Raw genomic sequence first — 14,183 nt, 5'->3', positions numbered from 1 at the left:
TGAAACCCCATCTCTACTAAAAATACAAAAATTAGCTGGGCATGGTGACAGGCACCTGTAATCCCAGCTACTTTGGAGGCAGAGGCAGGAGAATTGCTTGAATTCAGGAGGCAGACTGCAGTGAGCTGAGATCACGCCACTGCACTCCAGCCTGGAAGACAAAGTGAGACTCTATTTCAAATAAATAAATATTCACAGCTGGGCACGGTGGCTAACACCTGTAATCCTAGCACTTTGGGAGGCCGAGACAGGCAGATTGCCTAAGCTCAGGAGTTTGAGACCAGCCTGGGCAACATGGTGAAGCCCTGTCCCTACTAAAATACAAAAAATCAGCTGGGCAGGGTGGCAGGCGCCTGTAATCCCAGCTACTCAGGAGGCTGAGACAGGAGAATTGCACGAACACGGGAGGCGGAGGTTGCAGTGAGCCAGGCAACAAAGCAAAACTCTGTCTCAAAAATAAATAACTATATAAATATAAGTAAATATCCACAGGGGTTGAGATTCATAACCTGAGAACTTTGCTAATTCATGGTTTGAACCCTTTTGTCTGGTCTCAATCCTTGTACATCTTGTCTTTCCATATGCTTCTATTAATAGAATACAGGCATGTCTGGGCATGGTGGCTCACACCTGTAATCCCAGCACTTTGGGAGACTGAGGCAGGCAGATCACTTGAGGTCAAGACATTCAAGACCAGCCTGGTCAACAAAGTGAAACCCCATCTCTACTAAAAATACAAAAATTAGCTGGGCGTGGTGGCGGGCACCTGTAATCCCAGCTACTTGGGAGGCTGAGGCAGGAGAATTGCTTGAATCCAGGAGGCAGAGGTTGCAGTGAGCTGAGATCACTCACTGCACACCAGCCTGGGCAACACAGTAAGACTCTGTCTCAAAAAAGAAAAGAAAAGAAGAGAAGAGAAAAAAGAAAAGAAGAAAAGAAAACAAAACAAAAAGCGGGCATGGTGGCTCACACCTGTAATCCCAGCACTTTGGGAGGCCGAGGCGGGTCGATCACCTGAGGTCAGGAGCTCAAGACCAGCCTGGCCAACTTGGTGAAACCCTGTTTCTACTAAAAATACAAAAATTTGGCTGGGCGTGGTGGCTCATGCCTGTAATCCCAGCACTTTGGGAGGCCGGGGTGGGTGGATAACCTGAGGTCAGGATTTCGAAGCCAGTTTGGCCAACATGGTGAAACCCCGTCTCTACTAATGATACAAAAATTAGCCAGGAGTGGTGGCACACGCCTGTAGTCCCAGCTACTTGAGAGGCTGAGACAGGACAATTGCTTGAACCCAGGAGGCGAAGGTTGCAGTGAGCCAAGATTGCACCATTGCACTCCAGCCTGGGCGATGAGCAACAAGAATAAAGCTCCGTCTCCAAAAAAAAAAAAGAAAAATTTGCCAGGCATGGTGGCGGGTGCCTGTAATCCCAGCTACTTGGGAGGCTGAGGCAGGAGAATCGTTTGAACTAGGGAGGCAGGAGAATCGTTTGAACTGGGGAGGCAGAGGTTACAATGAGCCAAAATCGCACCGCTGCACTCCAGCCTGGGCAACAGAGCGAGACTCTGTCTCAAAAACAAAAACAAAAACAAAAACAAAAACAACAGCAACAAAAAACAATGCAATATTGTGGTGTGGTATTGTGAAGTCTTAAAGCATAGTGGTTGGAAGACAGACCTAGGTAACTTGGGCAAGTTATGTAACCCCCTTAAACTTCAGTTGCCTTGCCTGTAAGATGAGGGTTTTAAGATTAAGTAGGTTGGATGCAGTGGCTTGCACCTGCAACCCCAGTACTTTGGGAGGCTGAGGAAGGATGTGTGTTTGAGCCCAGGAGCTCCAGACCAGTCTGGGCAACATAGTAAGACTCTGTCTGTACAAAAAAATCAAAAAATTAGCTGGGCATAGTGGTGTGAACCTGTAGTGCCAGTTCAAGTTTGAGGTGGGACGATCACTTGAGGCCAGGAGATTGAGGCTACAGTGAGCTGTGATTGTGCCACTGCACTCCAGTCTGGGTGACAGAGCAAGATCCTGTCTCAAAAAAAAAAAAAAAAAGATGAAGTAGAGAGAATGTGCATACATAGAGCAGTTAAATCACTGTGCATGTGGAAGCTTGAAGACAGTATGTTAACAGTTCTGCCAGCACTTGTTAGCAAGTTGATAGGTCTCACTTTCCTCCCCCCGTAAAATGAAGGATTTGGAATGGGAGGTCTCTAAGGTCTCACCTGGCTCTAAAAGGTGATTTCTTGATTTCCAGGTAGCATAGTTAAAATAATAATAATAATAACAACTAAAAGGTGAGCTCATTCATTCACCTGGTTCTAAAAGATAAGCACCTGCCATGTGCCCAGCACTGCCCTAGTGAGGTATATAGCAGGCATCAAAGCCTCAGACATTTTTGCTCTTATGCAGCTTGCATTCTAGTAGGGGAAGACAGGTGATAAGTATGGAAAATGTGGAAAGCACATAGTATGTCAGGTGGTGGCGAGTACGCTATAGAAAAGCAGGAAAAGAGGAAGAGAAGTGATAGGAGGATGGTTTCTGGAGTGGAGGGAAGCCTTATGGAGAAGGTGACTTTTGAGGACAGCTTAAGGGGGTGAGGAATGAGATGTGTGAGGAGGCTCCACTGGGATATAGAGACCTCAGAAGGCAAATTACCCAACTCTGTGAAACAGCAAGAATCAGTTAAACAAGGTGCTGCTAATAATTTGCTTTTGGCAAAACAAAAATCTGAAAACAAATTTCCTATCATTTTGACATTACTATTATAACAAAAACCTGACACAGAAATGACAGTAAGTTCCCTCTAGACTGTATGCTCCTTGAGGGCAGCCTCTTCACCTCTCCATCTCCATCACCAATTATGAGTTCTGGCCCATGAAAGGCTCTCAGCATTTATTTCCTTCTTTTTCTCCCTTCTCTTTCCCTAGCTCTCCTTCATAACCTCCATACAATTGTGGTATTTGATATTGTCTGACAGCTATCTCTTAGCTGTCATTGAGTAAATGAAATAGTGTGTACTGTTTTTCCCAGTTTATGGTTAATTTGGAAGTAACCACTTACCTTAAGAACAGATTCAGTGACACCCCAGGAGAAGTCACAGGGAAACTGGCCCTGCACATCTGGCGTGGACTCTTTTAAAGAAAAACCATTTTCTCGTATGATCTGTTTGTAGTAGTGTGCTGAAGACTTAGGTTTCCGCTCTTTCTGTTTACTGTTAAAATCCACATAAAATAATCCTCGGCGGATGGTGTAAGCATCCTGCCATTCAAAGCCATCCAGGAGAGACCAGGCAGTATAACCAAACACTCGTATTTCATCTAACCTTATTGCTGCACAGAGAAAAGAAAGCAGAGATGTTCAGAGGCCTAAACATTCTAGTTCATGTTTACAATTTCACTAACATGCCAGAGGACAGCATATTGTAAAACGAACCTTTGCCCTAATTTTCAGGTCTGCTGTATCAAATAGAAAATTCATGTTTATACTTCAAAAGTGGCAATTACTATCATCCAGATTGGTATCTCCTGATCCCCCCACTCCCACTTGGAACAAGTGTATGTCACAGTTAAAGGATCACACCTTAAATACTCCTGAGACTTGGTGTGCAAATCTGTGTCAGAGGGCATGGTAATTTCCAGAACTCTTTGGGACAAATGCATATGTGTGCTCATGACCAAGAGTTTCTTATTTCAAGTTTGAGTTGGTTCTTATTCGTGGATAAGCTATTAATTCTAGGAAACTATCCTTCAAGGAGTTAAAAAAAAAGCTGCTTTTAGAATTAACATAAATGAATGTAGACATAAGGAGGTAAAAGAAGAAAAGTGATGTAAGAGAATGGGAACTGGCTGGGCTAAAGAGCAGGGGGCTGAGGAGCTTACCCTGCTATGCTCCAGGGAGCATGCTATTGGGCAAATTTCTTGGCCTCGGTTTCCTCATTTTTAAACAAAAAAGATTGGAAAATAGGATCTCTAAGGACCTTTCTAGCTTTAAAACTCTGATTCAGTAACTTGTAGGAATTGTGTAAAAATGAAATATGAAAATCAACAGGCGGGGCGCAGTGGCTCATGCCTGTAATCCCAGCACTTTGGGAGGCTGAGGTGGGTGGATCACCTGAGGTCAGGAGTTCGAGACCAGCCTGGGCAACATAGTGAAGCCTTGTCTCTACTAAAAATACAAAAATTAGCTGGGGATGGTGGCGGGCATCTGTAATCCCAGCTACTCGGGAGGCTGAGGCAGGAGAATCGCTTGAACACAGGAGGTGGAGATTGCAGTGAGCCAAGATTGTACCATTGCACTCCAGCCTGGGTAACAAGAGCAAAACTCCATCTCAGGGAAAAAAAAACAAAAAAGAGAAAAGAAAATCAACAGCAGTCCAAACAACAAATACCCAAATTAGCCCTGAATCCTTTTTTCTTTCTTAAAAGATTTCACTTCTCTCATAGAAATGCCTCCTCATCTCTGCATTTTGGGGATTTTTGTCACTGACATTCTTTTCCTAAAATGAGGAAAGTCCAAGCCAAGAGTTTCCAAGAAGATAAATATGTTTAACAGGCTCTGGTTCTAGCCTATAGCTGTTGTAGGGTCCTAAGGAGAGGTGGAATGGTAACACCTGGGGAATGGACACCCTTTCTGCCCAAGAGCATGGCATTTGACCCAGACCCTGTAGGCAGAACCCTCAGCCTTGGCCCCTATGTGCATGGCCCGTAGCTGGGCGTGGCTCGGTTCCATGCTGTTCCTTCCTGCAACTTGGGGCGGCAGGGTCTTGCTCTCCCTCAGGACCCTCCCTGAAGGCTCTCTCCAGCAGCACCTGGGATTTTCTTCCTGGCTTGTGACTTCTAAAGAGAGCAACAGAATTTTAGAAAGATCCATGGAGAATTCCTTAATATGAGAGTGAAATAGAGCCCAACTCCAGGGAACAGAACCATCGTAACCTCAGCTTGTCTTCTGCTCCGTTGTTTCTATCAGCCACCTGTAGATGTCACTACTTGAGTAATAGAGAAGGAGTGAGGGGCTAAGTGGGGGCCAAAAGTCTCTGGGAGCAATAGAAACAACTCATTTTGTCTTCAGACCTTTTCATCATGCCGTCATGTAATAGAGTATAAAGATCACAATTTCCAGAAAAACTTTCAACATCTTGGAATAAAGTACTACTGTTAGGAAACTTTAAGCATACCTCTTTTAGCACTGTGTCCTTTATAAGGAATGAAACAGCATCTTCTTGCCAATTAAGGGTGTAGCCCTAGTCTGAAAGGATTCTGTTCTCAAACTTTTATTTTAAAAAGGACATGGGAATAACATAAAAAAGTGCTGTCAACATTGGACAATACAATGGCTGGGTGTGGTGGCTCATGCCTGTAATCCTGGCACTTTGGGAGGCTGAGGCAGGTGGATCACCTGAGGTCAGGAGTTCGAGACCAACCTGGTCAACATGTTGAACCCCCGTCTCTACTAAAAATACAAAACTTAGCTGGGCGTGGTGGCAGACACCTGTAATCCCAGCTACTCGGGAGGCTGAAGCAGAAGAATTGCTTGAACCTGGGAGGTGGAGGTTGCAGTGAGCTGAGATTGCACCACTGCATTCCAGCCTGGGAAACAAGAGTGAAACTCCGTTTCAAAAAGTAAAGAAAAAAAAATTTCAGGCTGGGTGCGGTGGCTCATGCCTGTAATCCCAGGGCTTTGGGAGGCCGAGGCGAGTGGATCACTTGAGGTCAGGAGCTCGAGACCAGCCTGGCCAACATGATGTAACTCCATCTCTACCAAAATATAAAAAATTAGCTGGGTGTGGTGGCATGCACCTGTAATCCCAGCTACTCAGGAGGCTGAAGCAGGAGAATTGCTTGAACCCAGGAGGCAGAGGTTGCAGTGAGCCAAGATTGCACTGTTGCACTCCAGCCTGGGCCACAGAGTGGCTCCATTTAAAAAAAAAATATTGGACAATACAAAAGGCCAGGCCGGGCATGGTGGCTCATGCCTGTAATCCCAGCACTTTGGGAGGCTGAGGCGGGCGGATCACTTAAGGTCAGGAGTTTGAGATCAGCCTGGCCAACATGGTGAGACCCTGTCTCTACTAAAAATACAAAAATTAGCTGGGCGTGGTGGTGGACACCTGTAATCCCAGCTACTTGGGAGGCTGAGGCAGGAGAATCACTTGAACCCAGGAGGCGGAGGTTGCAGTGAGCCAAGATGGTGCCACTGCACTTCAGCCTGGGAGACAGCGAGAAACTCCGTTTCAAAAAAAAAAAAGCCCAACAATAATAGTTACATATTCAAAGGTGACTTTAAATATCCTGTAAGTTTTTAGAATTTTTAAAAAATTAAGCAAGTGTACAACCAACCTTGAAGCACCTGGCTGAGGAAATTCTTCATCATGTAGATGGCCGTGGTGTCTTCTGTTTTCACACGACTGTCTGTGAACCAGCCATTCTCAGCAATCAAGATTCGAGGGTTGTTGTATTCCAGTTTAATCCAGTTCAGCGCTTCTCTTAAATTAAGTGAAACATTTTGTCCCATTTTAGCCATGGTGTTTAGGGGCTTGAAGTTGTTGGGTCCAAAAGAAAAGGCAAAGAAATCAGCTGTGCCTCTCATCTCATGCTTCTCTGCTTCAGAGAAAATGGGTAGAACGGAGAACAACTTCTTTCTCATCCCCTCTGGATAGTCGCCATCCCCATGGATAGGGTTGGCAAACCATCCAAGCACAGAAACCATGGATTGTTGACATTTGAATATATCCATCGTGTTTTCCGACCGGTTTGGCTCGATCCAATGAGATCCCAACGTGATCGATAACCAACCCTTCTGATGTGGGCGGAAATGTGTGTTGTAGTTATGCCAAACTTTCGAGTGAGCCTAAAAGAAGAAAATATTATTGATCTTTGTTGTCCTCACTTACAAGGGCTGTAACATGGCTGGTAAATGGCCTTTTCATGGATAAAATTAATGCAGCGTACAGTGATTCAGGGGAAAGCTGCCAGGGAGCCCTGATGACCTCAAAGTCTGTTCTCTATGCCCCTAGTGCTTCCAACCTAAAACTTCTGCTACAGGAGAGCTGGAGGCTGGCAGAAAGCCTAGTCTAGGCTCTTATTTCCCCTCTGCCTGGCTCCCTTCCTGGGCCCTCTTGGGGTAGTGTGTAGGGTTTCCTCCTCTACATAAGAAGATACATAGCAGTGATTTTTTATTTTTTATTTTTATTTTATTTTGAGACAGAGTCTTTCTCTGTCGCCTAGGCTGGAGTGTAGTGGTGCGATCTCAGCTCACTGCAACCTCCGCCTCCCAGGTTCAAGCAATTCTCCTGTCTCAGCTTCCCGAGTAGCTGGGATTACAGGTGCACACCACGACGCTCGACTAATTTTTGTATTTTCAGTAGAGACAGGGTTTCACCATATTGGTCAGGCTGGTCTGGAACTCCTGACCTCAGGTAATCCACCCTCCTCGGCCTCCCAAAGTGTTGGGATTACAGGCATGAGCTATCGCGCCTGGCCCAGAGCAGTGATCTTTCACCATTCTACAGAATCTCCCTTTGGTCCTAATTTAGAAGTCCAGGACAACACAGGCCCTGAATCCTATAAATGAGTAATAATAGAGCCCACCTCCTAGGGATGTTGTGAGAATTGAGTGAGTTAATCTGCGTAAATTGCTTTAGAATCATGCCTAGCACAGAGTAAGCTCTATATAAGCCTTAGCTATTATTGCTATGATTATTAAAGGGTGGTCGGCACTGCCCACAGCAGAAGACCAATGGAAAGAGTGTAAGCTTTGGGGTCAGCACACCTAGGCTTGAAGTTCACGTACTCATTGTGTAACCTTAGGCAAGTCACTTAACCTTTCTGAAATCTCTTAGTATCCTCAGTTGTAGAATGAGGTTAATAACAACAATATCCACCAGGCGGGGTGGCTCATGCCTATAATCCCAGCATTTTGAAAGGCCGAGGTAGGCGGATCACCTGAGGTCAGGAGTTTGAGACCGGCCTGGCCAACGTGGTGAAACACCGTCTCTACTAAAAATACAAAACTTAGTTGGGCATGGTGGCAGGCACCTGTAATCCCAGCTACTTGGGAGGCTGAGGCAGGATAATCGCTTGAACCCGGGAAGGCAGAGGTTGCAGTGAGCAGAGATGGTGCCACCGCACTCCAGCCTGGGTGACAAGAACAAAACTCTGTCTCAAAAAAAAAAAAAATCCCCTATAAGGTTGTTGTCTGGTTTAGAGCTAATATATGCATGAAATATGTAGCACAGAATAGAGCACGTAGGAGGTACTGCCAAAAGGTGGATGTTATTATTATTGGTCCTCCTGGAGTTTGCATTTCCAGTTGAGCTCTCTTACAACACAGCCTCGTGATGGGTTTCTGGTCCATTTAATATGATAGATACTTCCTGAGCACTTACTTCCATGCCTGGCTTGCCCTGGGCTGAGAGACTGAGATAGATGGCACAGGAACTTACCCTCAGAAAGTTTCTTATCAGGAAAATAAGGATGCAGCATGTGAAAGAGAAACATAAAATGGCATAAAATATGGCATTAAATTAAAAAAAAATTAAAAGCCAGAAGCCATGGCTGAGTTAACAGTCACAGCCACAGCTGAAGGAGCAAACATTAAGGACTCCATGCCACTTAAATGCCAAGGCCACTTCTGTGTCCCAGTTAGCTGTGGAATTGTCCTTCATCTGTGTCAGAACCACTCTCTTCCCCTCAGCATTTGACTTGCTTGTTTCTTGACATCTCTTCCCTGGTCTCTCATTTTCTCCATTATTTGAGTTGTTTTTTTTTTCTTTGAGACAGAGTCTTGCTCTGTCACCCAGGCTGGAATGCAGTGGTGCCATCTCAGCTCACTCAACCTCCACCTCTCAGGTTCAAGTGATCGTCCCACCTCAGCCTCCCTAGTAGTTGAGACTACAGGTGAGCACCACCATGCCCAGTTAATTTTTGTATTTTTAGTAGAGGTGGGGCTCCACCATGTTGGCCAGGCTGGTCTCGAACTCCTGACCTCAGGTGATCCACACACCTCGGCCTCCCAAAGTGCTGGGATTACAGGCGTGAGCCACTGCACCCGGCCCCCACTATTTGTGTGTTTCTAAAACAAATGCACAGACTCATTATCTTTAGCACACAGAGCCTGCTTTCAGTTTTGTTCCTTAGCTTTTCTTTTGCTCACTGGAGATATTTTATATCAGAATAAACTATCTGAAACTGCCTTTTACGTAGGTCAAAGACAAGCAGATATGAACAATGGATTCAAACCAGATCGATCCTGTGGACCCTGAAAATATTCCATAAACCCTGTTAGATGGGGAAAGTAGGCATTGAGGTAAGGGGTGAGGATTCTGAAACGTGCCATCCTGCTTTATGCAAGAAAAAACAATTTAAATAAATTCCTGGAAGATTTTCTGGAGAAATAAATTCCTTGAGGTATACCTCTGTCCACTTGTCCTTACTCAATTTTCATTGGAAGATTCTGGTACCATTTAGCACCCAGGTATTCCCAAGGATCCTTAAGAATGCTTTCCTCGGGCCGGGCATGGTGGCTCATGCCTGTAATCCCAGCACTTTGGGAGGCCGAGGCGGGCGGATCACCTGAGGTCGGGAGTTCCAGACCAGCCTGATCAACATGGAGAAACCCCATCTCTACTAAAAATACAAAATTAGCCGGTCGTGGTGGCGCATGCCTATAATCCCAGCTACTCGGAAGGCCGAGGCAGGAGAATCGCTTGAACCCAGGAGGCGGAGGTTGCAGTGATGCAGTGAGCTGAGATCGTGACATTGCACTCCAGCCTAGGCAACAAGAGTGAAACTCCGTTTCAAAAAAAAAGGAATGCTTTCCTCTTGGTTGGTGGTTGGGTGGGTGGCTCACATCTGTAATCCCAACACTTTGGGAGGCCAAGGTGGGAAGATTGCTTGAGCTCAGGAATTCGAGATCAGCCTGGTCAACATGACGAAACCCCGTATCTACAAAAAAAAAAAAAAAAAAATACAAAAATTAGCCAGGCATGGTGATACGTGCCTGTAGTCCCAGCTACTCAGGAAGCTGAGGTTGGAAGATCATTTGAGCCAGGGAGGCGGAGGTTGCAGTGAGCTGAGATGGCACCTCTGCACTCCAGCCTGGGGGACAGAGTGACACCCTGACTCAGGGGAAAAAAAAAAAAAACTTTCCAACCGGGAGCAGTGGCTCATGCCTGTAATCTCAGCTCTTTGGGAGGCTGAGGTGGGCAGATCACTTGAGGTCAGGAGTTTGATTTGAGACCAGCTTGGCCAACATGGTGAAACCTCTTCTCTACTAAAAAAAAATATAAAAATTAGCTGGACTTGGTGGCATGCGCCTGTAGTCCCAGCTACTCAGGAGCCTGAGCCAGGAGAATCACTTGAACCCAGGAGGCGGAGGTTGCAGCGAGCCTAGATTGAGTCGCTGTACTCCAGCCTGGGTGACAGAGCAAGACTCTGTCTCAAAAAAAAAAAAAAAAAAAAAAAAATTTCCTCTCAGAGAAGTATTCAGAATGTAGCCTCTTTCCTTGTCTCCAACCTGAGATTGCAACTTCTGGAAGAATCAGAGGGGCCTGGGACAGACACTACCTTAAATGGTTTCAGCTATTCTTTCCGGGTTTTTCTGGGGCTAGAATCACGACAGAAATTCTTGAGAACCGCTTTTTTTTTTTTCTAATTAGAAACAAAAGCAGTCATAAATTACTAGGATTCAAAGGAGGGAATTCTTTGTTTTTTTCTAACCAGTCACTTAATCCCTTGGTAGCCTTAGAGCTATCATTCATGGAAGACCCAGTGATCAGCACCTCCCTTCAGGCCTATTGTGCACCTCTCTATGCAAACTGGAAAGCACTGAGCCCGTGTAGCCTGGATTGTGAGCCTTAAACTTGTTGCTTTGCAAATTTAATGTCTTGCTTTTGCAGACACTAAATTTCAGTGATTATATGAAAGATGACCTAAGTCGTGATAAAAATCTTGGTTACATCAGCCTTTGAATGAGAAACAGTAGAGCTCAGAAGACATATCTTTGCAGTAGCTTTCCATGCAGGTTTTCTGGATATACATATGGATGTGTTGTCAAGGTGACCTTCACGTTCCACAGTGTCTCTTTCACCTTTGCTGCTATTTGCCTAGGCTATCAAGGTATCTAGGGTTATCTTTGCTCTGGGCTGAAGACAGCCTCTTCATTCTCATGTAGAGAATGTGGGGGAGGTCCTCTGTGCAGTACTTTTGGTTATAACTTGATCCTATTTGCCAAGTAACAAGGTAAAAAATTTTGCTCCAAGATCGTGAGTTTGCCATATCCATCTATGTGTGTTCTTTGGTTGGGCACTCATAAAGGAGATCTGTTGGGAAAATTAAAATGAGGTTAGTAGGGGAGTGCAACCTGGGCCCTGCAACCTTGCACAACAGCCATTCTACACTTTTCCAAGGTCACCCTCTAATTTGTACAAAGCCATCTACCTCTGTAATGATTGATTTAAGGGAGCTTCAACCTTTGTTCTTTAGATTCAGTAGCTTAAAGGGAAAGTCAGCTTCTTTTTCTTTTGGAGCCAGCTATCAGGCCCTAATGTCATTGAGAGACAACCAGGACCTAATATCTCATTCTGTTCTCTCCTCCAGTTTAATGTGGCAGCATTTTTTGATGCCCCTGGAAGTCCAGACTCAGATAAATTCTGTGGATGATAGGAAACAAATAAGATAGTAGGCACAACTTTAGAAATAGATGAAGAAGGGATTAGGAGCCAGAGGAAGACATGACAGGACACTGTTGGAAAGATGGGTTGAAGACAGATGAGCAAGCCAAACACATCACACCAGTGTATTCAAGGAACCCTCAGTCATTTGTCAAAAGTTCCATTTCCAAATCTGTGCATGAGTTTGGTCACATTTTGGCTGAAATATGTTCATGTGTACTATAAAAGTGTCTGTTGTTTAAGCTATTTAATAGACTATTAAATAACAATGGTTAAAGAAAGTTTATTTAAAAACTCCACAAGCATAACAAAATAGGTTTATATTTCTGTGTTCCCACCCAGGCTTTCCAAACATATTTCCCAGCTAAAATCACTTTAAGACCGGGTGCCATGGCTCATGCCTGTAATCCCAGCACTTTGGGAGGTGGAGGTGGGTGGGATCACCTGAGATCAGGAGTTTGAGACCAGCCTGGCCAACATGGTGGGACCCTGTCTCTACTAAAAATACAAAAATTAGCCGGTCATGGTGGCGGGCACCTGTAGTCCCAGCTACTCGGGAGGCTGAGGCAGGAGAATGGCTTGAACCCTGGGAGGCAGAGGTTGCAGTGAGCCGAGATCACGCCACTGCGCTTCAGCCTGGGCAACAAGAGCAAAACTCCATCTTGAAATAATTAAACTAATAAATAAATAAAAATTTAAGAAATAAAATCACTTTAAACATCTTCCACGCTGTTTTTGGTTTTCAGAATATCTTAGTATAATAATGATTTACTTAGCTATCTCTGTCTTTTGATAAAAATTTATTTTTCTTCGTTCTTTTGTTCTTTCTCTTTTCCTGTCATAAATGTTTCAATAGCTAACTTTGGGCATATAACCTTTAATTTATTTGAATCATTGCCTTTCATTAATGCCAGGAATGGACTACCTATTTCTTTTCTTTCATTCTTTTTTTTTTTTTTGAGACGTAGTTTCACTCTTGTTGCCTAGGCTGGAGTGCAATGGTGTGATCTCAGCTCACTGCAACCTCCACCTCCTGGGTTGAAGCGATTCTTCTGCCTCAGCCTCCTGAGTAACTGGGATTACAGGCACCCATCACCACACCCAGCTAATTTTTTGTATTTTTAGTAGAGACGGGGTTTCACCATGTTGGCCAAGCTGGTCTTGAACTCCTGACCTCAGGTGATCCGCCTGCCTTGGCCTCTCAAAATGCTGGGGTTACAGGCGTGAGCCACCCGGCCTGGACTACCTATTTCTAAAATTGTTTTAAATATTCCCAAATCGCTTTCCATACATTTTGTCCACTGGTGTGAGTGTTCTGTGACCATGGGATATAAAACATTGACAGCTCTATTAGGGGATAAATGGCATTTGAGAATGATATAAAGGTGCTACTCATCTACCTGGTACTATACGGGAAATAACATTGGTCTTGAAAGCAGGAGACCTGGGCTCTTGTATTAGCTCTGCTGACTCATCAGCTTTACGATCTTGGACAGATCATTTCACTGTCAAAGACCTGTTTTTCCCTTCATTCTACTGAGCTAAAAATAAACACCCTAGAGAATTTTCGTGAACGTCAAATGAGGCAATAATATCTGTGAAGACCCTGTGAAAATGACACAAACGTAAATTTGAAGTACTTTGAAAGAGCAAGCTGAAAATAATTTAACTTGGTCTAGAAAATCGTAATGGAGACTGTGTGGACGTGAAGAGTGTTCTGCAAATAGCTCCCAAGCCTTTACTTGCCAAGGCTCGTGGCTGAACATGTTTGCCCTCATTTATTGTTTGCAGCTTCCTGAGTTTTACTCGTTGTCCTTTTGGGATTAATTTCAATTTGATTCATCTTTTCATCTGCTTAGCCCTTCTCTATTTTGGTATCAAGTTGATTTTTTTTTTTTTTTTTTTGAGACAGAGTCTCCCTCTGTCACCCAGGCTGGAGTGCAGTGGCTCGGTCTTGGCTCACTGCAGCCTCTGCCTCCTGGGTTAAAGTGATTCTTCTGCCTCAGCCTCCTGAGTAGCTGGGACTACAGGTACCTGCCACCACGCCCAGCTAATTTTTGTATTTTTAGTAGAGACAGGGTTTCACCCTGTTGGCCAGGCTGGTCTTGAACTCCTGACCTCAAGCAATCTGCCTGCCTTGGCCTCCCAAAGTGCTGGGATTACAGGCATGAACCACCGCGTCCGGCCTCAAGCTGATTTTTTAATTTGTTTGTTTTGTAAAGACAACCTCTCACTATGTTGCTCAGGCTGGTATCGAACTCCTGGCCTCAAGCAATCCGCCAGCCTAAGTCTCTGTCTCTGTGCCAGCCTACTATCAACTTTTATGTTAATTACCAAATGCTGCTCTTCCAGATTGTTTAACATTCATTCATTCATCCATGCTGCAGTCTACAAATATTTATTGGATGCTGTGGCTCACATCTGTACTCTCAGCACTTTGGGAGGCTGAGGTGGGAGGATCACTTGAGGCCAGGAGTTCAAGACCAGACTGGGCAATATAGTGAGACTCTCTTTCTC

At 44.7% G+C, this 14,183-nt stretch overlaps 1 protein-coding gene across 1 annotated transcript in view; it reads right to left on the bottom strand.

Moving 5' to 3' along the window:
* The window catches only part of KLB (klotho beta), a 44,604-nt gene that overhangs the window by 10,480 nt on the left and 19,941 nt on the right, over nt 1-14,183 (bottom strand). Inside the window, exons 2-3 of the mRNA NM_175737.4 lie at nt 6,334-6,844; nt 3,059-3,327 (exon numbers count right to left, since the gene is read on the bottom strand). Of these exons, the coding sequence (NP_783864.1) occupies nt 3,059-3,327; nt 6,334-6,844 (780 nt within the window). The remainder of the gene's footprint in view (nt 1-3,058; nt 3,328-6,333; nt 6,845-14,183) is intronic.

The sequence above is a fragment of the Homo sapiens genome, chromosome 4, assembly GCF_000001405.40.
Source record: "Homo sapiens chromosome 4, GRCh38.p14 Primary Assembly".
NCBI classification, from domain to species: domain Eukaryota; kingdom Metazoa; phylum Chordata; class Mammalia; order Primates; family Hominidae; genus Homo; species Homo sapiens.
Note: the sequence above shows the minus strand (reverse complement) of the source record. Positions and strands in the feature narration are given on the sequence as shown.